Source organism: Homo sapiens, chromosome 7, assembly GCF_000001405.40.
Source record: "Homo sapiens chromosome 7, GRCh38.p14 Primary Assembly".
In the NCBI taxonomy this organism is placed as follows: domain Eukaryota; kingdom Metazoa; phylum Chordata; class Mammalia; order Primates; family Hominidae; genus Homo; species Homo sapiens.
The window spans coordinates 156,672,365-156,700,129 of record NC_000007.14 but is presented as its reverse complement, the minus strand read 5'-3'; the positions used below and the strand labels follow the sequence as shown (position 1 = coordinate 156,700,129).

At 40.2% G+C, this 27,765-nt stretch overlaps 2 protein-coding genes across 51 annotated transcripts in view; one reads left to right on the top strand and one right to left on the bottom strand.

Moving 5' to 3' along the window:
- Positions 1-27,765, top strand: part of LMBR1 (limb development membrane protein 1) — a 224,172-nt gene that overhangs the window by 193,054 nt on the left and 3,353 nt on the right. For 7 of the 28 annotated variants that reach the window (NR_146958.2, NM_022458.4, NM_001350953.2 and 4 more), the window contains 2 exons: positions 11,939-12,100; positions 15,967-22,339. Coding sequence is in view for 18 of the 28 variants with exons in the window: in NM_022458.4 (NP_071903.2) it covers positions 11,939-12,100; positions 15,967-16,052 (248 nt within the window). In the remaining 10 variants the exon portion in view is untranslated. Of the gene's footprint in view, positions 1-11,938; positions 12,101-15,966; positions 22,340-23,446; positions 23,745-27,765 lie in introns of those variants that run through there. The other 21 variants (NM_001363412.2, NM_001350954.2, NM_001363410.2 and 18 more) reach the window with 10 other exon arrangements.
- The window catches only part of RNF32 (ring finger protein 32), a 36,927-nt gene continuing 32,161 nt past the window's right edge, over positions 23,000-27,765 (bottom strand). For 20 of the 23 annotated variants that reach the window (NR_131778.1, XM_011515811.3, XM_011515810.3 and 17 more), the window contains 2 exons: positions 24,267-24,434; positions 23,000-23,711 (listed from right to left, as the gene is read on the bottom strand). Coding sequence is in view for 21 of the 23 variants with exons in the window: in XM_011515811.3 (XP_011514113.1) it covers positions 23,475-23,711; positions 24,267-24,434 (405 nt within the window). In the remaining 2 variants the exon portion in view is untranslated. Of the gene's footprint in view, positions 23,836-24,266; positions 24,435-27,765 lie in introns of those variants that run through there. The other 3 variants (XM_047419899.1, NM_001308273.2, XR_007059986.1) reach the window with 2 other exon arrangements.

Genomic DNA, 27,765 nt, shown 5'->3' with positions numbered 1-27,765 from the left:
TCTTTGCTATTGTGAATAGTGCCGCAATAAACATACGTGTGCATGTGTCTTTATAGCAGCATGATTTATAATCCTTTGAGTATATACCCAGTAATGGGATGGCTGGGTCAAATGGTATTTCTAGTTCTAGATCCCTGAGGAATCGCCACACTGACTTCCACAACGGTTGACAGTCCCACCAACAGTATAAAAGTGTTCCTATTTCTCCACATCCTCTCCAGCACCTGTTGTTTCCTGACTTTTAAATGATCGCCATTCTAACTGGTGTGAGATGGTGTCTCATTGTGGTTTTGATTTGCATTTCTCTGATGGCCAGTGATGATGAGCATTTTTTCATGTGTTTTTTGGCTGCATAAATGTCTTCTTTTGAGAAGTGTCTGTTCATATCCTTTGCCCACTTTTTGATGGGGTTGTTTTTTTCTTGTAAATTTGTTTGAGTTCATTGTAGATTCTGGATATTAGCCCTTTGTCAGATGAGTAGGTTGCAAAAATTTTCTCCCATTCTGTAGGTTGCCTGTTCACTCTGATGGTGGTTTCTTTTGCTGTGCAGAAGCTGTTTAGTTTAATTAGATCCCATTTGTCAATTTTGGCTTTTGTTGCCATTGCTTTTGGTGTTTTAGACATGAATTCCTTGCCCGTGCCTATGTCCTGAATGGTATTGCCTAGGTTTTCTTCTAGGGTTTTTATGGTTTTAGGTCTAACATTTAAGTCTTTAATCCATCTTGAATTAATTTTTGTATAAAGTGTAAGGAAGGGATCCAGTTTCAGCTTTCTACATATGGCTAGCCAGTTTTCCCAGCACCATTTATTAAATAGGGAATCCTTTCCCCATTTCTTGTTTTTGTCAGGTTTGTCAAAGATCAGATAGTTGTAGATATGCGGCATTATTTCTGAGGGCTCTGTTCTATTCCATTGATCTATATCTCTGTTTTGGTACCAGTACCATGCTGTTTTGGTTACTGTAGCCTTGTTCTTGTTATGTTTTAGCAAAGAGACTGGTGGCATTTTGCCCCTGCCCTAGAGATTTGTGGAACTTTCAACTTCAGAGAGATGATTTAGGGTGTCTGGTGTGAGAAATTTCTAAGCAGCAAAGCATTCAAGAGGTGACTTGAGTGCTGTTCAATTTTAAAACATTAAACATTTAAACATAAAACATTTAAAACATTAAGGCATTCAGTTTTAAAAGGAAAACAGCATAAAAGTTTGGAAAATTTGCAGCCTGACAATGCAATAGAAAAGAAGATTCCATTTTCTAAGGAGAAATTCAAGCCAGCTGCAGAAGTTTGCATAAGTAATGAGGAGCTGAATGTTAATCACCAAGATAATGGGGAAAGTGTCTCCAGGGCATGTCAGAAACCTTTACGGCAGCCCCTCCCATCACAGGCTGGGAGGTTTAGGAGGAAAAAGTGGTTTCATGGGGCTGGACCCAGGGTCCCTCTGCTGTATGCAGTCTAGGGACTTGGTGCCCTGTGTCCCAGCTGCTCCAGCCGTGACTAAAGGGCCAGGGTACAGCTTGGGCTGTTGCTTCAGAGGGTGGAAGCCCCAAGCTTTGGCAGCTTCTATGTGGTGTTGAGCGTGTGGTGCACGGAAGTCAAGAATTGAGGTTTGGGAACCTCCACCTAGATTTCAGAAGATGTATGGAAACACCTGGGTTCCCAGGCAGAAGTTTGCTGCAAAGGCAGGGCTCTCACGGAGAACCTCTGCTAGGGCAGTACGGAATGAAAATGTGGGGTCAGAGCCCCCACACGGAGTCCCTACTGGGGCACTGCCTAGTGGAGCTGTGAGAAGAGGGCCACCATCTTCCAGACCTCAAAATGGTAGATCCACTGACAGCTTGCACTGTGTGCCTGGAAAACCAATACCAGCCTGTGAAAGCAGCTGGGAGGGAGGCTGTACCCTGCAAAGCCACAGGGGTGGAGCTGCCCAAGACCATGGGAACCCACTTCTTGCATCACCATGACCTGGATGCGAGACATGGAGTCAAAGGAGATCATTTTGGAGCTTTAAGATTTGACTGCCCTGCTGGATTTTGGACTTGTCTGTGGCCTGTAGCATCTTTGTCCTGGCCAATTTCTCCTGTTTGGAATGGCTGTATTTACCCAATGCCTGTATCCCTGTTGCGGGAAGTCACGGACCACGAATGGAGGGACTGGCTGGAGCTGCCGCAGAGGAACATAAATTGTGAAGATCTCATTTTAATATGGACATTTGTCAGTTCCCAAATAATACTTTTATAATTTTTTATGCCTGTCTTTAATCTCTCAATCCTGTTGTCTTCATAAGCAGACGATGTATGTCACCTCAGGACCACTGTGATAATTGTGTTAACTGTACAAATTGATTGTAAAACGTGTGTTTGAACAATATGAAATCAGTGCACCTTGAAAAAGAATAGAATAACAGTGATTTTTAGGGAACAAGGGAAGACAACCATAAGGTCTGACTGCCTGCGGGGTCGGGCAGAAAGAGCCATGTTTTTCTTCTTGCAGAGAGTCAATAAATGGACATGCAAATAGGGAAGATATCGCTAAATTCATTTCCTAGAAAGGAATATTGATATTAATACCTTGGGAAAAGAATGCATTCCTGGGGGGAGGTCTATAAACGGCCGCTCTGGGAATGACTGTCTTATGCGGTTGAGATAAGGACTGAGATATGCTGTGGTCTCCTGCAGTACCCTCAGGCTTAACTAGGGTGGGGAAAAACTCCGCCCTGGTAAATTTGTGGTCAGACCAGTTCTCTGCTCTCGAACCCTGTTTTCTGTTGTTTAAGATGTTTATCAAGACAATATGTGCACCGCTGAACAGACCCTTATCAGTGGTTCTTCTTTTTCCCTTTGTCCTGTTCCCTCAGAAGCATGTGATCTTTGTTAGATCCTTATTAGTAGTTCTGCTTTTTGCCCTTTGAAGCATGTGATCTTTGTACCTACTCCCTGTTCTTACACCCCCTCCCCTTTTGAAACCCTTAATAAAAACTTGCTGGTTTTGAGGCTCAGGTGGGCATCACGGTCCTACTGATATGTGATGTCACCCCTGGCGGCCCAGCTATAAAATTCCTCTCTTTGTACTGTCTCTCTCTCTCAGCTGGCCTACACTTATGGAAAATAGAACCTACATTGAAATATTGGCAGCAGGGTCCCCCAATATATCCCCGTTGTATCTAGGAAGTAACTAACTTGCTTTTGATTTTTCAGGCTCATAGGCAGAAGGTACTTGCCTTGTCTCAGATGAGACTTTGGACTGTGGACTTTTGAGTTAATGCTGAAATGAGTTAAGACTTTGGGAGACTGTTGGGAAGGCATAATTGGTTTTGAAATGAGAGGACATGAGATTTGTGAGGGGCCAGGGGCAGAATAATATGGTTTGGTTGTGTCCCCACCCAAATTTCATCTTGAATTCTCACATGCTGTGGGAGGGATTCAGTGGGAGGTAATTTAATCATGGGGGCAGGTCTTTCCCATGCTGTTGTTGTGATGGTGAATAAGTCTCACAAGATCTGATGGTTTTCAAAAGGGGAGCTTCCCAGCACAAGCTTCCATTCTGTCTTGCTGCCGCTATGTGAGAAGTGCCTTTCGCCCTCTGCCATGACTGTGAGGCCTTCCTAGCCATATGGAACTGTGATTCCATTAAACCTGTTTTTCTTCCCAGTCTCGGGTATGTCTTTATCAGCATCATGAAAATGGACCAATACACTGTTGCATATTTTCTTTGGCAAAATGTCTATTAAGATCTTTTGTTAATTTTAACGATTGGATTTATTTTCTTGTTATTTAACTTTGAGGGCTGTTTACATATTCTTGGTTAAAGTTCTTTATCAAAATATATGACGTGTAAATATTTCTTCCATTTAGTTACCTGTCTTTTCATTCTCCTAACAATATCTTTGAACAAGCAGACATCCTTAATTTTGATGAAGTCAAATTTATTAAATTTTCTTTTATGGATTGTGCTTTTGATGTCATAATCTACTAAATCTTTCTCTAACCCGGGATCACAAAGACTGTCCTCTATGTTTTCTTCTAGAAGTTTTATACATTTAGTTTCTGTGCTTTGGCCCATGACTCACTTTGAGTTAATTTTTGAATATAGTATGACATATAGATTGGAGGGGTTTTTTTCCATACTGGTTGCCAGTTATTCCAGCACCATTGCTTGAAAAGTTTATTCATTTTCCACTGCATTACCTTTGGATTTTCATTGAAAGCCAATTGTCCACATATGTGTGAATGTGATTCTGTTTCTGTGCTCTCTCTTTTTTTTTTTCCATCAGTGTCTTTTTTTTTCTTTACATCAGTACTACACTGTCTGGATTACAATAGATTGGTCATAAAACTTGACATTGGTAGTATAAGTTCTTTAGGTTTTTAAAAAATTGTTTTGTGTGCATGTGATATGGTTTGGATCTATGTCCTCACCCAGATCTCATGTTCAGTTGTGATTCCCAGTGTTGGAGGTGGGGTCTGGTGGGAGGTGACTGGATTTTGGGGGCAGTTTCTCATGGTTTAACACCATCCCCCTTGGTGCTGCTGTCATGGCAATAGTGAGTTATTGTGAGACCTGGTTGTCTAAAAGTGTCGGGTGCCTCCCCCAACCCTTTGCTCCTGCACCGGCCATGTAAGATGTGCCTGTTTCCCCTTCACTTTCCCCCATGATTGAAAGTTTCCTTAGACCTCCCCAGAAACTGAGCAGATGCCAGTATCATGCTTCCTCTACAGCCCATGGAATCATGAGCCAATTAAACCTCTTTTCTTTATAAATTACCCAGTCTGAAGTATTTCTTTATAGCAGTGTGAGAACAGACTAATACCGTTTGTTTGTTTTGGAGACAAAGTCTTGTTCTGTCACCCAGGCTGGAGTGTAGTGGTATGATTTTAAGTCATTGTGGCCACAACCTCGTGATGTCAAGTGATCCTCCTGCCTAAGCCTCCTAAGAAGTTAGGACTACAGGCATTCACCACTATGGCCATCTAATTTTTAAATTTCGTGTAGTCTTTGGCTCTTGCTGTGTTGCCCAGGCTGATCTCAAACTCCTGCTTCAAGTGATTTTCTTGTTTCAGCCTCCCAAAGGGCTGGGATTACTGGCATGAGCCACCACATCTGCTAGGATTTTGACTGGGATTGTATTGAATCTATAAAACATGTTGGAAAGGATTAACATCTTTACAATATTGAGTCTTTTACATGTCTTTTACTTTCTCTTGTTTGTAGTTTTGTTTAGGTCTTCTTTAGTGAACTTTGTTAGTGTCTTTTAAGGAATTTGTTTATTTCATCTAAGTTGTCGAGTTTATTATGACATTCTTTTTGATGCTATTACAAGTAGGATTATTTTGTTAATTTCGTTTTTGGAAAGTCCATTCTTAGTGTATAGAAATTCCACTGGTTTTTTATGTTGATTTTGTAACCTGTAATTTTACTGAATTCATTTATTCTAAAAGTTTTGTTTGATGGAGTCCTTAAGATTTTCTGCCTGTATGATCATTTCAACTGCATATGTAGATAATTTTACTTTTTCTCTGCCTATTTGGATGGATTTTTAAAGTTTTTCTAACTTGATTGCTCTGGCTAGGACTTCAAGTAGTATGTTGAATAGCAGTGGCAAAAGTGGGCATCCTTGCCTTCTTCCAGATCTTAGAAGCTTTCAGTTTCTTCCCATTGATTATAATGTTAGCTGTGGGTTTCTAAAAATATCTATTGTCTTGGCTGGGTGCAGTGGCTCATGCATGTAATCCCAGCACTTTGGGAGGTCAAGGTGGGTGGATAGCTTGAGTCCAGGAGTTCAAGACCGGCCTGGGCAACAAAATGAGACCCTGTCTCTGCAAAAAATACAAAAATTAGCCTGGCATGGTGGCATGCGCCTATAGTCCCAACTACCTGGAAGGCTGAGGTGGGATCATTTGCCAGGAGGCTGAGGCTCTGCACTCTAGCCTGGGTGACAGAGTGAGATTCTGTCTCTTAAAAAAAAAAATGTCTCTATTATGGTGAGATAAATTCCTTCTTTACCTGTTTTGTTGAGAGTTTTTATCATGAAAGTATATTCAATTTTGTCAGTTGCTCTTTTCTACATCTACTGAGCTAATCATGTGGTTTTGTCTTTCATTCTGCTAGTGTGGTATATCACATTGATTGACCTTCATATGTTGAACCATACTTGCATCCCAGCAATAAATTGGCCCCATTTGGCTAGGGCGTACGATCCTATTAATGTGTTGTTGAGTTAGGTTTGCTAGCTAGCATTGTATTGAGGAGTTTTGCATCTGTGTTTACTGGGAATACTGCCCTGTAGTTTTCTTTACTTTTGTTGCCTTTTTATTGGCTTTGGAATCAGGGCGATGCTGGCCTTGTAAAATGAGCTTGGAAGTTTACTTTCCTTTTCTGTTTTTGGATCAGTTTATGAAGAGTTCATATTAGTTTTTCTTTGAATTGTCTGGTTGAATTTACCTTTTGAAGCCATCTGGTCCTGGGCTTTTCTTTGCTGGAAAGTTTTGATTAGTGATTCAATCTTCTTGTTTATTAGTTTGCTCAGGTTTTCTATTTCTTCTAAAGTTAGTCTGGGCAGATTGTATGTTTCTAGGAATTTATCTGTTTCTTTTGGGTTATCCAATTTGTTGGCATATAATGGTTCATAATAGTTCCTTATGATCTTTTTATTTGTGTCATTTGTTGGAATATCTCTTTTTATTTCTTATTTTAGTTATTTCTGACTTCTCTTTGAGTTAGTCTAGCTAAGGTTTTTATCACTTTTATCTTTTAAAAAATCCAACTCTTGTTGATTTTTCTAATGTTTCTATATTTTCTAATTCATTTATTTCTGCTTCAGTCTTTATTATTTTCTTTCTTCTGCTAACTTTGGGTTTAGTTTGTTCTTTTCTGATTCCTTGTTCTTTGAGATTATTATACTTCTTTGGTTAATTTTCATCATATTTGAAAGATTTTCAGCCACTATTTTTTCAAATAGTGTTTTTTCTTCTCTTCTCCTTCAGGGACTCTAATCACAAGTACATAAGACATTTCAAATTAATTCATGGTTCATTGATGCTTTTTTCATTCTTATTTTGCTCTTTGTTTTGTTTTCCTGTTGCTGTGTCTTTAAATTTACTAATCTCTTCTTCTGCAGTGTCTAATCTGCCATTAATCCTATCTAGTATAATTTGCATATCCCACAGTATAATTTTCCTTTGTAGAAGGTCAGTTTCAGTCTATTTTCTTTCATATCTCTACTTAGCAAGTTTTATCTTTCCTCTAGCTTTTGAAATAAGAAATGTAGTTAAAATAACCGTTTTAATGTCTTTGCTACTCATTCTGTCACCTGCTTCATTTCTTGATTAGTTGCTCCCCACAAGCATACACTGGTCAGTTGTCTGCCAGGTTCTTCCTTTGTGCAGCCCACTGGCCACTGTGTCATCCTTATGCTCCAAGCTTCGTCTCATGAACTTAGGGAGATGGCTGGAGCTCTCCTCAGCTCTTCTCTCTACACTGCAGTCTCTCTTTAGGTGGTAAACTGTGGCAATCATAGGGCCCACCTTGTTTGTTTCTCATCTCTCAGTGATCACTGTCCTTCGTTTCCTGATGTCTAGGGTCTTGAAAACTGTTGTTTCATATACTTTGTTCAGTATTTCAGTTTATAAAGTTGAGAGGGAAAATCTGGCCTCTTTTACTCCATATAGGCTGGAGCCTGAAGTCAATAAGTATATCTCCAATTGATATAATTTCATGAAAATATACTTGCACAGTAAGACTGGTGAAAAGGTAAAGTCAGCTGGGCACAGTGGCTCACGCCTGTAATCCCAGCACTTTGGGAGGTCCAGGAGGGCGGATCATCTGAGGTCAGGAGTTTGAGACCAGCCTGGCCAACATGGTGAAACCCCATCTCTACTAAAAATACAAAAATTAGCCGGGCGTGGTGGTGGGCGCCTGTATTCCCAACTACTTGGGAGGCTGAGGCAGGAAAATCGCTTGAACCCAGGAGGGCTTGGGTTGCAGTGAGCTGAGATCGCGCTGCTGCACTCCAGCCTGGGCGACAAGTGCAAAACTCCATCTCAAAAAAAAAAGGTAAAGCGTTTGCTTCAACAGCATCATCTTTCATTCCACCTCAGAAGTGGAGCCTCTCTTTCGTTTTATGATGACTTTGTTTTTGAATGAATAAAACAATTGGCAATGAGCCAATTTAAATTATTCCTGTTTTAAAATGACTGTAGATTTCATTATTTCATACTCTTTGTCACTTTTTTTTCCCAACACTGTCTTAGCTAATATTATTTCAAAAAAATGGTTTAGAGGAAGAGATTTGAAAACATAGTCTAATAATCTAACCTTTGAGTTCAGAAGGAAAAAAGTATGCTAATCCTAATATTTCAGCAAAGAACATTTAATCTATAAGTTTTTTTTTTAAAATAACAAGATGTACGTGTTCTTTCTGGTAATCTTACATTAAAACCATGGATATTTATGTCAGCCATTTGTGTAAATGCCAACATATATAATTTATTGATAAAGTCATATTAATGATCCCTTTATGTGTCAAGCTTTATAAACTCTCTCTTAACTACTTTTTGCTGCTTTAGGAAGATGAATAAGCTTGCTAAAAGTAGAAGTTTACTCAGGTGGGCTAAAGAACATAAATTCTATTGACTCATATTGCAGGTAGAGAAACCAGCCCTTTCTTAAATGAGATTTTATTCTGTATGTTAATTCTTTTATAGGTATGAATAGAAAAAGATCATTATTCAAGGAATTATGCATAAAATATTTTCAGTTGAATTCTAGTTGGGGGAGGTGATGTGCAGTTTGTCATGAAGAATTTTTTTTATTGACAGATAATCTAGATAATGTGAACCTTATGCTTAACTACTGCTTAACTTACTAAGCTTCTTGCCTGGTGTGTATTTTACTTAATCTTTTAACAAAATGAACTTCCAAATGGACATAAGCATTTAGATACTTGACTAAGGGAGTTAACAACATTTGATAATTAGATCTTTCTAATAGTAGTATTTTAAAATATTTGCTTGCTTTTAATAGTAGTATTACTTCTAATAGTAGTATTTTAAAAAATTTGCTTGGTTTTAAAATGCTTTTACCTTTTTACGGAAATAGAGGTTTAAAACTCTTTTACATTTGTCAAATGATTGCTATTAAAGCTTTGTCTGAGTATTGCCATTTTTTCTTAATTGTTGGTGCTTTTAATTTTAAAAGTACATTTTATAATCTAATTATTGCCATGCCAGAAACCTCTCAGGCAGAATTTTAGAGAAGTTCATTTTTAAGGTTTCTTGTGGTCCAGTCTTTATAGAAAATTTTCAGAATTGAAGAACTGTGTGTTGGTCAGAGTGATCTGTTAGTCAATCTATCAGATTTTTAAAAATATTAAATTCAACACAATGATGTCTTGGAACTAGTTTTTATGAGGTAATATTTGTCTATTTCTTCGGTGCACTATAGCAACAGGCTCCTGGGTTTCTGTTGATGAAGTCAACCTGAAATAGCCTGAAAACCAAAACATCTGATGATAGAGACTGTTCTTTGCCTAGATATGTCTAAGTCTTGACCCTGAGTCTCAAGATACCAAGTTGAGTCCACTAAGAAGTTCTAGTGAAAGCACTTTCCCGTTTTGCAAAACATACCTTCCATTCTTACCGTGATGATGCATTCAGCTTCCTGACTTCTCATTATATGGTATTGCTGTCACAACGTAGGACACAGGCCATGTACAGGGCTGGTAGGATTACCCACCACAGAGCATATACCAGTGGTTTCCAAAGTGGAGTTTGTGCATTTCCTTGCATTCATAAAGTAAGTCGTTGGACTGTGTGAAGAAACTATTAGAACTTGCATTTATATTTATTGTTATGATTTTTAAAGTCTTTGTTTTGTCTGTATATGTCATTGAATAGTATATATGTAGCTTATAAATAATTAAATACACATATATGGGGTATAGATGCTCAAATTTTGTTTTTACTGATGGTAGTATATGTTAAAAAAAATTTCAAGAGCAGGTAAGACTGGTATAGAGCATCTGGGCAAGGGTTTGATTCTGGGATCTCCCGTGTCCTCCGTCAGTGAACTTCGTGCTGTGTAAAATTTGGGTGTCTGTGTCTGGGTTTTTCTTGTGAGAAGATTCATAGCTCTCAGCAGATTCTCAAAGGAGTCTTTGGCCCTAATGATAAAATTACTTATCTGAGATCTCTGGGTTGAAGCCACTGAAGCTTGTTTTGGTAGGACTATATCTTGTTTAAAGATCACTTCCTAGGCTAAATGAAATGGTACTGTATTTGAAAAATAAAACTTATAATTAGATATGTATTCCTTTTAACAAAGTAAAGTTTTATTAATATGAATAGCTGAGAAACTGTAGCCAAGATTGTTGTCATCATCTCATAACCATGTGTGACATATGCTGTGTACTCTTCTGGTGTCTGCATTTTAACCTTTTTAAAAAAGCTATTTTATTGTATGTTTTCATTAATTATCTACCTTAAAAAAATATTTTGGTATATTACTGTCTTTTAATTTCAAACACATTTGTCCTGGGTAGAAGTGGCTACAGAAGAGCTACTTTTGAGATCTCCTGTTTTTATGACAATGTTTGTATTTGGTTTTTCTGTTGTCTCTCTAAGCTGCTTTTGTAGAGGCTATCTGTAGTAGATTATGCCATTGCATTGGAGGGAGGATTAGAGTTCAGCTCAAAGGTCAACTGATAATGTAAAATTGAGTATAGTCAAAGTTATTCTTGAGATCACCCATAAAAATCCTTAAATCACCCTTAAAATACAAGGTACATAATTTTATTTATACAATTTTATAGACGATTGTTATTACTTATTCTAATTCTTTGTAGTTTAAATTTTATATGGCCCCCAAATGCTCTATCCTTTTTTCCTTGAAGAATGTTGACATTCCCATTATCTGTCTCTTGACCGACACCTGAATGATGTGATTTATTTATCTGTCAGTGGTCAGAAAAATCCTACCATTCATGTATTTTTTTCCAGTAAATACTGGACCTGGCCATGTGCTCATTTAATAGAATGACTATTTAAACTATTTTTAAGTAAAAATACTTTTACAAATGTGTATAGGTGAATTTAAGTAACTTCAATGCATATATTAGATCATCCTACTGTATTTCCTGCTTTGTCTTTTTACCCTACAAGCCTATAAGCATTAAACTCAGATTAACAATTTTTAATGGAAGGAAATTACCTTATTTATTCATTTATATTATACATATTAAGTGTGTATAAGACATTATTCTGGGCACTGGGATTATAGGGGTGAAACAAAGTTCCTGTTCTTATAGAACCTACATTCTAGTGGGGAAAACAGGCAATAATAAGCCAAAAAGAAAAAAAAATAGTCTATGTATGCTGTGAAGACTCGTAATTAGTATAGAAGGCCATGGAAGGTCCTGCTGTTTTAGGTAGGGGAGTCAGAGGTTTCCTGTCCGAGGAGATGGCATTTGCCCAGAGACCCGACTAAAGAGAGGGGACGGGCAGTTCCTCCAGAGAGCAGCAGCAGAGGAGGTGTAAGGATGTTCTCAGGCATCTTTTTCATCGTGACTCTTGCTTCCTGTGATCAGTTACAGCCGTCCTGTCTCGGTAGAGCATGCAGTCAGCCATCCTCCCCATGTAAGCAGCACGAGTGCTTGATTTTTAACATCAGCATGAGTTCCGTCGAATGTCGAGGGGCGTTCATTCTGACCTCATTACTCATCACTTGCTAGTGACTGTGGCGTGTATGTGAAGTAGGTTAGGTCTGGCTTGAGGCTGTCCCACTAGATAATAGTTACATATTTTAAATTAGGATTTATTCATTAGAGCATCTCACGTCACAGAAGTGAGAAAGTCCATAGAATTCGATCTAACTTGTACTTTACTTGTAGCACACTAAATATGTCTTAACCTGATTTCATTAAGGGCTATTTTATTTATTTTTAACAGGAATCACTAGATTTGATCTACTTGGCGACTTTGGAAGGTTTAATTGGCTGGGAAATTTCTATATTGTATTATCCTACAATTTGCTTTTTGCTATTGTGACAACATTGTGTCTGGTCCGAAAATTCACCTCTGCAGTTCGAGAAGAACTTTTCAAGGCCCTAGGTAATCCTGAGGTTTATGGGTATTTTTTCCTCTTTCTACTAAATAATTTTGACATTTGAGTTAATATTACATCTTCAGCTATTTAGTTTCCCAAATTTGTAAAACCTTAGAGGTCAAATTATTGATCCCCTACTTTGTGCAAAATTCCTTCATTAAGCCTTAGCTTCCTTATCTGTAATACAGTGATAGTATCATCTTCCTGTTAGGGTTTTTGTGAAGATCAACGGAAATAATTCTGTAAGATCCTTAGCATAGCGCCTGGCACATCCTAAGAACTCAGTAAATATTAGCCCCTTTATTATGACGATGGTGGTCATGGTGGTGGTGAGGATGATACGGTGTGAAAAGCTTATCTCTTGGTAATAATACCTTTTAGTTAAAGCTTTTTTGAGGCTTGGATTTTGCAAGTATTAGGCTAACCCATAAGTCTCTTCATTAAGCCAGAGAATAAATTCAAGATGAAAACGTTAGCATTCTTGGCATTGATGTAATAGAAGAGAGGGGATTTACTGTTATGTGTTCCAAGAGTCACATGTATTGTAATGGTGTTAAAAACGGGTAGGTTTAGCTAAAGGGTACAAACGTAACCTATGAATGTATTTTTATGCTTATTTCCACATTAGTGCTAAACATATTTCAAGTTTTATACTTTAAAAATACCAGGACAAAGTAAATTATCTTGGTTTGGGGTGGGAGGGGGTTGTAATTTTATGACAGAAGAAGGGAAAGGCAGTGACTTCTTGTAGAAAATTTTTAAAAATCCTGACATTAGCTCATTTACCTGAGTTGACATGATTTGAATGCATATGACTCCATACTGGGGCTTTTAGCTATTGTAAAAGGCCACATACTGATGGATTCATTAAGGTCCAGTTTTCAGATAACTTAAACGATATGAGCAGCAATAAAGCTTCTCAGATCACCAGGCCTTTCCAACCTTGATGTTTGAGAGGGTGACCTTTGGGAGGCACAAAAGATTTCAGATGAGCTGTCCATATGTATTTTACTTTGAATATGCCCTGGGAGGGGATGGCTCATCAAATATTGCAATGCCTGACAGGAAAAAGTCACAGCTCATTTCAGCTGACACACCAGATAACTTATACCTTTTAATGCTTAGGTTTAATAAAGCTGGCCCAACTTGAAGTAGGAATCAAACAGTCCTTTTTATCAGATGTCTAGCATTAAAACTTAATTTTTAAGCCTGTTATAATATCAGCAAGATTAGTTAGCCATGGTTTCAGATAAATTTCCACTTTCCATTCGCTAAATGAGATGGTTGCAAATGAACTGCCGTAACTTTAGCTTTTGAATTAGGTATTCTGGACATCATTTTGCTAAGAAAGCCTTTATTAAAGTAATAAAACATAACCTGATATAAAAGGCCTTATATGCATGTCAGTTCCTTGACCATAAGAGAGAGTAGAATTAGCAAGAGTTGTATAAAACTACCTAATAGATACATTTACTTTTCTTCCCCAGTGTTTTTCAGTATTCTTTGGGGTGTGCTACGGGGCAATTTATACATAGAAAAAGAGTCTTATTAAGTATATGTAATGTTTGAATGATCTGAGATCTTAACAGGGATTTAGCTGAGACTTGTAATTTGATTGTAAAGTAGCTATCCCCTTTCTTTCTTTTTTTTTGTAGAGATTTTTTCCCCTCTGCTACTCTGCCCATTGATAATAATAGTATCCATCTCAGAGAATATCTAGCACATAGTAAACACTAGAAATTTAGCTGTGGTGATGGTGGTAATGGACGGGATTGTTTCTGGAGTTGTCTGCAGAAGAGACACATCAGAACGTTTCAGAATGCATAACCTACATGACAGCCAAGTTTTAGGCGTGAACTCAGATAATCGATCCTAAAAGGGTGCCTTCATTTCAGCTCAGTCAGTGGGTACCGCAGTGATCCTCTGTCTTCACTCAGTCCCTTTTCTAACAAGCTTGATTTTAGCACACTTCCTCAACTCCAGCAGCTGTGGGTTCCTATTGTCATTCCTGGGACCTGACCATTTTTTGTGTTGGATTGATTTCTTTTTTCCCTTCCCATTCAAACATAGGCTCAGTTTTACCTTTTCTTTCATTAAGATATGCAGGTGACAGGAAGATTAAAATTTGGAGTGCTATATTAGTTTATGAGTGATGTAAAACTGCCTAATAGGTCAGTTACCATGTGAAATTTTAGGGAGAAAAATCTTTTCCAAGTAAGTTGTTGAGATGCCAGAAAGGTCTGAGCTTCGTGAAAAGTATTTTCTCAACATCTGCCCTGTGGAAGTGCTGCTGTGTGGCCATAGGCCACATGATGATCATTTGGTCAATAACAGACCACTTGCCTATGTGACAGTGGCCACAGCAGATGATCATGGAGCTGAACCGTTTCTGCCAGCAGTGGCGTGGCGGCTGTTGTAATGTCCTGGCGCCACGCATCAGCTTTTCTAGGTTCATATGTTTCTAGATGCACAGATATGTGCCATGGTGCCGCAGTGGCTGCAGCACTCAGGACAGTGACATGCTGTCTGCTTGGTAACTGAGGAGCAGCCGGCCACACCCTGCAGCCTAGGGATGGCATGGCTGTGCCCTCTGGGTGTATAGATACACTCTATGATGGCATCACAGCGACAGAATCGCTCGACAGCGCATTTCTCAGAATGCATTCCTGTTGTTCGGCAACACCTGACTGTGTTGCTGTATGTCATTGTGTTTCATTTTTATTAAAGTGCTTGACGCTCCAGTGCCACAGAAGCTCTTACATTTTCTTCTGCCCTTTCTCCCTGTGAGAGGGCAATGTTGGTCTGTGTATCAGGTATATTATGTAAATAATTGTTTTATGATACAGAGAGAAATAAATGTAACTTTAAAAGATAGTGATAGTTTTTTATTCTGTGAAATACCTTTGGGTAGTGAGATATTATTTATGTTCAGTTTATTCTTTTGTCATTTCTTTATTTTTTAGTAATGTTTTCCATTCTTTTCTTTTTAATTACATATTAATATTTGGCTGTGGCTTTCCCTACATTTTCCTGCATGTGTGTAAGGGGCAATTTATTTTACTTTATTTAAAATTTTTTTGAGACAGGGTCTCCTCTGTCACCCAGGCTGGAGTGCAGTGGTGTGATCACATCTCACTGCAGTCACAACCTGCTGAGCTCAAGGAATTCTCCCACCTCAGCCTCCCAGAGTGCTGGGATTATAGGCATGAGCCACTGCAGCCAGCTAATTTTTGTGTTTTTCATGAACATGGGGTTTCACAATGTTGCCCAGGCCTGTCTCAAACCCCTCAGCTCAAACGATCCTTCCACCTCGGCCTCCTGAAGTGCTGGGATGACAGGCGTGAGCCACCACGCCCAGCCTGTGTGTGTGCATTTTAAAATGCAAGTGGGAACGTATCTGTCTCGGGTTAGGTTCCCTGAGAAGCACACTTCAGATGGGAATCTGCTTGCCAGGAAGAGGTTTATTAGCCGGGTTGGGACAACGGAAGAGGAAGGGGCTGTGCAGAGGGAGGAACTGTGCCGTGATGCAGTCACACTGGAAGCCTCCGCTGGCCCTCGGGGATGTTGTGACTTCGATGGCCCTTCAGAGCTCCACTGAACTGAGAAGAAGGGACAGGCTCTTAGGACCCTCACGTGCTGTCCTGGAAGGGGCAGGACTTCCGCCTTGCAGCAGTCTTCAGCTTAGGCCATCCCCAAAGGGAGGTTGCCAGTAGGGAGAAGAAATCATTCATTCCTCAAGGGGATCTGGCCAGCACCTCACAGCTTTCCAAATAACACTTAGCTTTGTAAATCTCCTCTTCTCCCTACCCTAACCCTTTCCCAGCCACTCAGCAATATATCATTTCTCACCATTTTCTTAATTTTTTTGCAGGGCTTCATAAACTTCACTTACCAAATACTTCAAGGGATTCAGAAACAGCCAAGCCTTCTGTAAATGGGCATCAGAAAGCACTGTGAGACGCACAGACGGCGTCTTCTGCCACCAAGAGACCCGAGAACTCCAGATTCACGACATTCCTGTCCCATGTAGAAGCATTTCCATTCAACCGTGGCCCCTCTTCAGAACCTAGACCTATCAGTGCCATTTTTTTTTCATAATCTACGAAGAACTTGGCTATGGCTGATCTTTTTTAAATTTAACTTTCTGATGGACCCTGTAGTTTCCAGTTAAGTGCAGATTCCTTACAGACATATAGAACAGCGCATTCTTCTGTAGACATTTGCTCATGTTGGTAAATACAATCACCCATATGAAAAAATTGTTTTCACCTGATATGAAAATGTTAGAAAAGGCAAACTCCGGGACTTCTAAAGATTTACTTAAATCCCATTATGTACTTTATTCAGAATGTAGAAGCTGACTTGAAAGGCATCCTTGGTACTAAGTGAAGCTTATTCAGAAAATGCATTTTTCAAATGCAATGGCAACTGCTTGTAGATATCATTTTTGCAGTGTATGTTGGAGCTGTAATGGTTGCAATTATGTTTCTTATTTCCTTAAAAGCAAAAAGCGTAGTTTCTGATTTATGTTATAGAATGATACTGATTAGACTTTGAGCCAAGGGGAAAATACTAAATTCTTTTAAACCTGGAGCCTTAGAGAGCCACAGGAATATCTTCTGTTGTACAGTCTAATAAGCTGTGGTAGGAAGTATCATGTAATCACAGTTTAATGACAGTTTATGTATATATATAATTCAGTATTCCCTCTGATAACATAGTTGCCAGTGTTTAATACACTTGTAACTTGGATTTTTACCTTATAGGCTATATGTATACTCAGTTTTTTAAAGCATTTTTTTCAGAGATCACTTAATTCCCCATGCTTCTGCAATGCATATAAAAACTATAAATGCCGAGTGGTAGAAACTCCTCTTTCTTCATAGTCCTCAGGCTTTGGTTACATTTGCATATGCCATTTGAAGCCTCCAGCTTTTACCAGTTTAACATCCAAAGTTCACAGCATCAGCATTCATGGTGTAAGAACAGTTTTGCAGTATAACACGATCTGATAATCATTCAGTTATTAAATTGTAAATAATTATTGGGATGGTTTCTTGGCTTTAAGTCCACTGAATAAAAACTATGAAATTGCACTCTGTGTCAACCATCCACTAGGATAGAATACCGAAATCTGTGCATGCAAAAATAGGAGATGGGCCCATTTGCACACAATTCGTAGTTATGCAGTCTGCTATATAAATATGTTCACATGCACTGTGTGTATGAAAATAGATGGTCTGTGTTCAGACAAAAGTAAAACATTTTTTTCAAATTGTTACATTTAAAGGTTTTCTGGGAGAAATTTATGAAACGCAGGCTGTGTCTATTTGACATCAGAAATTTCCACTTTAAACCAAAATAATAAGAAACTTTAATCTGTATATTTACAACCTTTGTTGAGTACACTTCCCCCTTATTTATACGTCTGCATTTCCTTCCGAGCTTCACATCTTTCTAAAATGCAGCTTGGTTTTAAAATAAAAGAACATTCATTTTGTGATTCTAAACAAGCTTCAGTAAATACCACCAGTATAGTACTGGTGAATTTCTCAGCATAAAATCGACATACCTAAAAAGTTAATAAAATTCAGCTCTTTTCCAATTTCATTGTTATGCCTATTGAAGTATTAATTGCCAGGTTTGATTTTTAGTGAAGCTTGGAGTCCATACTTTGAGCAGACCAAGTGAAGGGAAGAACAGAAAGAAACTCAGGAGTAGAGTAATATCACTTCTCACTTACACCACTTTCAGGCACATCCAAAGAGTTCCTAGATACTTGGAAAATGTCTGAAAATTTTTAAGTAAAATACTAAACTTTTCAGTGTTTAGCTCAACTTTTTGTTCATTTGGAAGTTTCTCTCCATCCGAGGACTTAAGCCAGTTTTGGATTTGTAAGCCCTGAGTACAATACACTTCCTGGAGGCATCCTCACTGCTGTTGAAGCAAAGGATATGCATGGGGTGGAAGGACGGCTTCGAACCTGGGACTCATATGCCTTGAGAACAAATAGATTGTTACAGCCTTGGGCTGCTGCGTAATCACGGTTCCTCGAGGCTCTTCCTGAGCACATGCCCAAGCATCTGCCTCTGGAGAGACTGACTCCAAATGCAGGTGCTTCCATTGGAGCTAGGTCGGAGGCTGCTTTATATGACGAACTCCAGAAATGGATGCCAGAATACGGAGGCCAAACGTTCTGAGTCCTGGTAAGGACAGTCGCTCTGGGGGTCCTCATTTTACTGCAGTTCCTGCACGCCAGTGAAAGAGAGGAGATAGACCCTGGAAGGCAGAGCTGCAGATGCTCATCATCAGGTCAATTCTGGAGCTACAGTTTTGTTTCTGACTGGATAGGGATGCACCAGTGACTGTCACATCAAGCAGTCCTTTTATTCTCTCTCCTTTAGTATCGATTTTAAAGGGCATTAGGCACTATGGTTCCAGAGTTTCTTGGGGAAAACTTGCAGATTCTTATTAATTGGTTCTGCAATACTTAAATAAATTATTTTACAATTATAAGTTTTCAGATTATAACATTTGTATTAATTTTTACTGATTTTCCAAGATACTTCTTAGATTTACTATTTACGTAGCTTTATGTACATTCTCTGTAAAAATAGACCTCTAAATATGAGGCTTTACATGAAATTTGTACACACATACACACTAATGTTAGCTCCTTAAATTGCTGCACTAAGGTGCTGGTTAGTAGAGATGGACGGAGCCTCTCGCGTTTTGCTCTCAGATGTGTTAAAGGCGCACGTGTACCTGCTCTCAGCGGCAGTGCGGCCTCCCCATCTGCTGGGTGCCCATGGCCCTCCCTGCAGCCTCAGTGATGACCTCGTCTGCCAGGGACACAGGTTTTCATCATTTACAGGCTCTTATGTGCTAGTTTTGTTGGTAGCACGTTATTTAATGCATAAAGGCAGAATTCTTACAAGTTTTTTTTTTTAATGTGAACATAGATGCAGCACCGACTTTTTAAACTTGAAAAAACTGGTATAATGTTAACTTTTAAAAATAACATTTGGACACACTAGTAATTGATTTTTGTTTACAGATTGTTTTGTTTACAAATTGTTAGTCTTTGTTTCTATGAGATACTTTTAGTGTGACTTTTTAAATGTCTTAGAAATTAAAAGTTGTACAAAAAGTGATTTCATATTTGGTTTATAAGCATTTATATGTGGGGTTTATTTGTTCTTTTGTTTTTTCCATCTTAAATATTATCATGGCTAAAACTTAAGGGTATTTATAGTTTAATTCCATTTCAGTTTTATAGAGGGCAGTAATTATTCTGATGAATGTTGAATTAAGAAATGGATATTTTCTTTCTCTGTTGTGCAGTTATTGGTAGATCAATTTCTTATAACCCACAATGTAGCATCAATAATTGATAGCATGTATTTTATTTAATTACTTGAATTATTTAGACTTGATTTCTCTAATTTTTTCCATAAAAGGACTGAACAGCACCTACTTGTGGTCTGGACAGCTTAACCCAGAGTTCCTGGAAGAATAAATGCTGTTAGCATCTGGTTAATTTACTGGCAGACAGAAGCCTACTTACAGTGGCTTTCAACTTTTTGACCACAGTAAGAAATAACCCATTACACACACACACACACACACACTCTCTCTCTCTCTCTCTCTCTCTCTCTGTCTCTCAGATACGTATAAGCAAAAATTTAACAAGACAGTACTTGTTTTTCCTAAGTGTGCATGCTGGCATCTTCTGTTTTATTATTTTTAAAAATACTAGACACAGACACTAAGTTACTTTGTGGCCTCCTAATAGATGGCAGACTTCAGTTTGAAAAGCATCCCTTTGGAATGTGGTTTAAAAGAAGAAATAATACAAAGACCTTTTTGGAGTTTTTTTTTTTTTTGGTTTTTGAATATTGTTTAGGTAAAAATTATTGCTGCAAACACAACTGAAGCAAAAGTACTGTGTACGCAAATTACTTGTTGCACTGTAGAAAATGTAATATCAGGAGAAGTTCCTAAAACTCACAAATATATACAAAATTTCAAAACTTGGTGATTGATCCATATGTCTTGAAGGAATATTAGGCAATAAACTTACCTTTTCAAGAGAAGTTATTTAACTTCCAATTCTGTGTTCTTTAATTAGGAAAAAATTTTTTCAAGGTTAACTATAATCAAATAGGAACTTCACACAAAACCTCATTATTCTTGGATATGGATTTGGTGTTCTGCTGTTACTTCTAAAGGTGGTACAGAAGTCAAGTTTATGAGCCTGGATTATGAACAGCAGGGCGGCCCTGATGTGAGTGGTTGTGGAGGACTAGAGTGATGTAGAAGAATCTGTTGTGTCTGAGTGTGAGGAGGTGGAGAGTCACGTGTGGGCTATGGGTCTGAGAACTGAAGTTTTAACAGTTACTAAAACTGTTTTGTGGCTGTTGTAATGTCTTCTCCTTTCCTTTCCTTTGAAAAGCTGTTACTGAATGAACGATGCCGCTTACAAACACTGACACTTCAGAACCAAGCATATTTGATACTGCTGTAGCTATTTATATTGATTCTGCAACTTCTCTTTAACAGCATCTTGAAGTCATCCACAGTTGTTCTATATGGACTCCACAGTAGAGTCAGAGAACTAAGTGACAAGTGGAGCATCGTCCTCCTCCTGCTCACTTCCTCCTCGCCACCTCTCTGGCCTGGCTATCCTTCAGTCTGAAGAGTGATTCACTTTTTCTTTTCTTTTTAGTCTTTACTGTGGAATCTCATCAAAGACTTGGAAGCAGGGGTGGTGAGAGGGGCCTGGGGCGTGGTGTGGAGGGTCGAGTTCTTTGTCGTCCCACAGTCACCCCCAGGACCACCTTGCGAAGCCGAAAATACACATCTGCATTTTACCGACAAGGAACGCCACTGAGAAAGCTGCAGACATTTGCCTGGGGTCACGCTTACAGTGGGCAGATGAACTGGATGTAAATACAGGCCAGTACAACCGCAGTCTCATTTTTTCTTTGTTTTAGGTTTTCAGTTTCTTGTTCATTCATGTACCTTACAGTTCTATTATCTGGTTGATAAAGATTCATGACAGGTATCCTCATTCTAGATTATAACCTTTATTCTTATCAAATGCCTCCAGTCCCACAATTCGCTAAGAATTCTCTTTCTGGACTTGATAGTGATTTAATGATTCCCCCCGCCCATGGAATGGTAGGCTCCTAATTAAGTGGATTTAAAGGCAAAAAGGGATGTGTGAGAAGGCACAAGAAGTGGCTTCATCTTGCAAGGTGACTGTCAGACAAGTGGGTTCCAACCTGTTAAAATAAGGGAGGAATGGCCACATCCCGTAGGGACTGCTGTAGCTGACCAGGAAGACACAATGAGGGCAGCAGACAGGGCTCTCCCTGTCCGCTGAGTCCTCCCATGAACTCATGTTTCCAAAGGCCCCACTCTTTCTTGGTCAGTGTCCCAGTTTTTATAGAAGAGACCTGATGAGGCTGTGGAGTAATTGTATAAAAGCTTGCACTGTTTTCCTGACTTGACCTGACAATGTGGCGTTATCTTCAAATTGTCCAGAGAAGTAGCTACTTCATTCAGGTCCTTTTTAGCGTTCTGTGGTTGCAACTTGGTCTCGCAAGCTTTCGATGGGCGCGCCATTCCATGGCCACTTTTCAGTAAGAAAATTGCCTGATTTTCTGTTAACTGTCACAGGCTGCCCTGGACCATTCCTCAGAACTCATGGGATTTTCGCGACCCTCATCCTCAGTGAAGTTAGATGACCATTCCTGCCTTTCATCCCACCGATTTTCCTAAGTATCTGTTGCCTGCAACTAACACTAGTTCCTGTGTCAGTAAAGTACTGCACTTGGTTGCAAAGAATAGAGATGGACTCTGCCAACATAGGCACGGAAGGTTTACGGGGTGGATGGCATGGCTCACAGATGTGATGAGAAAGCCCCGGAAGAAGTGTTGGGCACAGCCTTAGGCACAACCTTTCCTGGGCTCTTCCCATCACTGAATGATCCATGTATCTCCGGGACTCTCCTTCTAGATCCAAAGTTTAGGGCGGCGGAATCGGACTGCTCTGGCCTTTGACACGTGCCTGTGCTTTGCCTGTCAACGCTATGGGGAGAGAGATGTCAGCTTACAGAAAATTGAGGTTCTGTGATTCAGTTTCCCTCTGCTCTCTTAGAATAAAAGTGCTTACTCATTGTTTAAAGCATTCTCCAAATTAGTCTGCAAATTTTTTGATAGTATACATCCTTAAAAAATGAGCACATCCCAATATATGCATATTTATTCATAAATGATACATACATATGTAGCTATATAATGTGTACATCACAAAACATAGGAGAGTATTTTTTCTAAGGGATGAGATAAGAATAAATAGAAATTTTGGCATTTCTTCTCACATTAGATGCTGGGTTATTCTGAGCCCATGCCATGTGCACACCCACTTGGCCTCTTCCTCTTAGGCCTACACCCTGCCCTTTCCTTGCCCCTTGTAGTTACTGTGGCTGGAGTGATGAGCGCCACTCCCAAGCATGGCCTGGAACAATGTCCTCCTGCCCCTCCACCAGCAGTGACAGGATTCACTGGGGACTCGGGGGCAAAGGAGACTGTGTCACAAGACAAAAGGAGCCAGGGTCACACATGGTGTACCCTCGCCCTGCCTCACCCATGGCTGACATGGGTTGGACACCTCAGAAATCATGTGTCTTCAGCGAGCCACTGAGAGTTGGGGCTTTATCTGTTACTCGGCTAGGGGTAACCTAACCGATGAGACTGTAACTGGTTACTGTAAATAACCAAGCTCCCAGTAATAGTAAACCAGTGACAAAAACAATTCTTATCCAAAAAGGTTCACTTTTTTTTAAAATGTGTGAACTAAAACAGTCTTTATTGCTCTAAGACATTAAAATTTGCACTTTTTTGATGTTGAATACCACTGAATATTTTATTTTTATATTTTATTACACAGAAATACAGCAATTATTACAAAACGAGTATTAGGAATGGCAAAGGCTTTAGGACAGACTATTAGCGGAAAACATTTGGAACTTAAGGAGTGTTTTACATTTGGAACTTACTTTAAGGAGTGTCGTTCAGACACTAGCTATATCTTAACCTCAATTTTTAGAAGTAAGCAAGCTCTCATTTTTTGCTATTCATATTTGAAGTGATTAAACTCATAAATTTGAAATTTACTTTTTAGAGACCAAAGATTAAAATTAGGTGGGATGTCAGCTTTTAAAATATACTAAGATTTCCTACAACTACCAATAGCTTATTTCCCTGGGAAACAGATTACATTGTAGTACTTAACCCAGAACTCATGCAGTTCATCCAAAATGATGGTAAACTTTTTTCCTCAGAATTACCTAACTTTCCTTGACTATGAATTCAACATTCAAGAATCTTCTTCTGGTAGCAGGAGCGGCAGAGAGGACAGGCATGGAAAGGAGGCCTGTCTCCCACGGAGAACTCCTCTAGTGCCAGCAGACACGCATGGTGGAACACATGTGAGCAGGACAGGAGGGCCATCTCTCTGGAACGCCTGCCTGCACCCACGCGCTGACCGCCAGCAGCGGAGAGAGGGGCCAGGCAGATGGAGCACTCGTGGGTCTCCCGGCGCAGAGCCTGCGGCACACAGGACGGGAAGAGGCCACGCGGGTTAGTTTCATCACAGCAGAAAGTTACTTAAACTGAAATGCGAACCATGTGCCCCGAGACATGGGTCTTCGAAACATGCGGAAGTTTCATTCTGTGTTAAAATCACATGCATTTTATTTATATATATACATATATATATACACACACATATACTCTGTTACTCCTGGGAACTGTGGAAAGGGTTAGTAACCCACCTGTGATAAGCAACATCCAACAGGAACTTCCAGAATTTCAAACTGAAGGGACCTTTGCCGTCACCCTAAAGCCCATGAGGAAAGTCCTACCACAGGTGCAGGGGCAGCTAGGGCAGCGGTTACCCCGGGACTGACACTCCTAGGCTTCCCAAAGTGAGTCCTCGACCTCCCCCGACATGCCACCCCCACAGCCTCCACGGCTGCACCCCGGGCCTGACACTCCTAGGCTCCCCAAAGTGAGTCCTCGACCTCCCCCCACATGCCACTCCCCACAGCCTCTGCAGCTGCAGCTGAGTCTGCTGGTTGCCAGGCTGCCAGCCAAACCTACCTGCACTTGGATTTTCTCCCATTCCTCTTCTGTGATCTCATGGCCACATTTTTCTTCCAACTGCTGAAGAACACTTCGATTTATGGCCAAGCACTGATCGATTTCTGCAAAGAGCTCTTCAATGTTGGTGTTGTATGAGCACAGGATGCGGTGGCTGATTTCTGTGAACTGAGGAGGAGGCGGGGGCGGGTAAGCTCACACCTGAGCTCGGTGGAGGTTGCAGGGAAGCGCTCTCGAGCCTGACCATCTATTTTGGTAACCTTCCTCGTCTCTGTCTTCGAATAATACTTTTTAGGGAAATAGATATATGTCTATTTTACTTAACTATAAATCCAGATAATCTGGACAGATGACCACAAGAACCCCTATCTGATGGAGTCCAGAACACACTACCCCAAAATACGGCACCTTGGCATACTGAATATTTTAAGGAAAAAACATTCCTTCCCAAAGGAATTTGAGAAATGACAGCTGCAGGAGGGACCGTCTGACCTCTCCCCACCCCTAAAGTGGGTCACAGGACCCTCCTGTGAGAGGCACCCTCGTCTCCAAAGACGGAGGGAGCCGGGAGGAGACAGCACACAGGCCTTGCCGTGGTTCCCACCGACCACCCTCAGCTCACCCCTTGTCCTGTCATGCTTCCCCACGACCTCTGTGTCCTCATCCAACCTAGCATAGAAAGCGCTCAGGCGTTACTGTCTCTTCGGGTCTCCGCTGCCCCTTCGGGTCGCCGCTGCCTCTTCGGGTCTGCACTATCTCTTCCGGTCTGCGCTGCCTTAGGAAGGCTTCCATACCACATGGGACTTACTAAGTAAATCCGTGTAATTTTCTCGTTAAGCTTAACTTACAGGGCTCCAGCTGAAGAATTTAGGAGGGTAGGGGAAAAGGGTATATTGTTTCCCTCCCCTGCTGTTTTCTTGGTTGTGAGCTTTGACCATTAGCAGGAACACATTTGAAATTAAAAGTTGAGAGAAAAGTTCGAATTTCGCAGGATCAGCTCTGTCCCATAGAAACATACTGTGAGCTACGTATGTAATTTTAAAATTTCTGGCAGTCACATTAAGTTTTTTAAAAGGTGAAATTAATTTTAATATTGTATCTGACCCAACAGATCCAAAATATTATCACTTCAACGTTTATTAATTGAATACAGTACTTTGTTTTTTTTGGTATTTTTGTTTGGTTTGGTGGAGACAGCATCTCGCTCTGTCACCCAAACTGGAGTGCTTGGGGCCATCAATGCTCACTCAGCCTCGGCCTCCCGGGCTCAAGCCATCCTACACTAGAAAGGTCTGAGTCATTACAGAGTGGCCACCAGTGTCATCTGAGGCACGGGTAGGTGGCTCATTCAGGGCCACACCAGCGGCTCCTTTTTAGTACATGTGAAGAGTGTAAAGCAAAGGAGAATAAGGTGTGTAAAAGGTTGTGCCAATGGTGACTGTCAGCCACACTTCCTGCCCTCTTGCTTGTCCTTTCAAGTACAGAGCTGTGGCTCACCCAGAGATGACATTTCCCATTCCCCCATGCCCAGGTGGGGCCACGTGAAGTAGTTCTTCCAGATGGACGTGGCTCATGTCTCTTCTGGGTGTTCTCCAGGCCCGGGGGGTGGCAGATAAAGGGCAGAGGGAGACAGTTCCCGAGCCCCACAGGCTGGCATGTTGCCTGCAAGCCAGGACACCTGAACTGTCCTATGAGACCGAAGCTCTGGCTTTCAGTCACTGAAATTCGGGGGGTTATTTGTCCAGCAGTGAGAAGTGCCGATTCAGCAGTTACATCTGCTTCATGGAATCCGGCTTGAAGCACAAAGAAGGATGAAATGAACAAGTCCCGTGGAGATCTCACACATTTAGATATGTGATGGGGAAAATGCATTTTGGATGGTCCATGACTGTCCAGGTTTCAAATATTCTAGTCTACTGGAGTCCTCACGTTCACTTTTTCTTTTTTTTTTTTTTTTATTAATGTGGAGCAACCTGGCAGAACGTAGTGTGTATTTAAATCACCAGACTTCTGAAGGTGCCTTTGAGGACATGGAGTTCTCTTCCAATTCTCTCCCTTCTGCAAAAAGATCGTGAGACAGCGCAGGGTCGAGTGCTGTGGAGACTATGAGCTGCCTTTCTCCCTGGGATGTTAGAAGAATGAGTATTGGCTTTAAGGATGAGAGGTCCTTTTGAGTAAAGAACATTCTGTGAACACAGCAGGCAGTCCACAAGGGTTGGGGTTTGAATGAAGGGGGTGGCTGAGGATCTTCCAGGCACCTGTGTTTTGGGATTAGCCGTACTTGGAAGCCTGGTGGAAGCTGCTTTTCTATTTATGAGTCAAATTCTCTTTCACTCTGAATGTAATTATAATTGCCAAGCAGCTGTATCTTAATTTAGGGTCTTGAATCGGTAACGTTTCCTAAGGCTTTAATTTTAATTTTCTTTATTCCTTGGCCTTTCAAATATCTAATAATATCTAAATAAATTATTGAAAGTAGAAGAGTTCTCTATACATTGTAAAAGGAAAAATTACTTGGAAATATACACAGTTACCTCCAATTGATGCTTTGTAATTCAGGTTTTCTGTAAATTGTTTTTAAGTGTGAGATACTTTCCACATATGCCTGAAAAGCAAGATCTTTTCTTCCTTCAAAATTATACCTCAGAAAAAGGGTCACATTCTAGTCCAGACCTTGCAAAGTGTTTCAACTTGTGAGGTATGTTCTGAGATTAGTTTTGGACATAAAAGTACTATTTGGAATGACTGATCAATTGAATGAAATGATCGATATGATCTGGGTGTTTATTCTCAAGGTGGGGCCCAGACCCCGCAGCCTCAGCTCCTGGGAATCTGTGAGAAAAGCAGAGCTTTTCAGGCTTTGCCCCGGGCCTGCCGAGGCCACAGTCCGCGGGGTGAGCCCTGCGATATGCTTTACAGCCCTCCAGGTGATTCTGAGGCCCATTCAGGTTTAAGAACCACGGTCATAGAAGTTACCGATCACATTTTTAAATATGCAAAGTTATTTAACACAGCATTAGTTATCATTCCTGGAGGTGTCACCTCCCAACTCCAAGCATGGGTATCGCTGTGCGTGCGCTTTCAGAAGCCACTTGAGAGAGGAACAGAGTAAGTGTGCGGGCCACATATAAATATGTATGTACATCTATATGCATTTATGTTACAGTGTCACCTGTGTGTGCATATATTCTATCATACGTGAGTGTATCGCTCTCTCTACAGGATGCCTGGAGCAATCCCAGCTGTCCTGATGTTACATAAATGAGTTACTTAGCTCAAGATAAACTTCCAAAGACAGCATCATTAGGACTTTTTAAAGTACATTTTCCTTCAAACACTTTAGATGGAAATAGAGCTCATATGCTCTGAACAACTGTGTTGGGTGACTCCTAAGTGGCCCTATTGATGACAAAGACCCTGAGGTCCAATACTGATGTCACCTATTGCCTCCTTCTGCCTCAGTCACTGTGGCATACAGGTCCTATCTCCTTTATTAGTC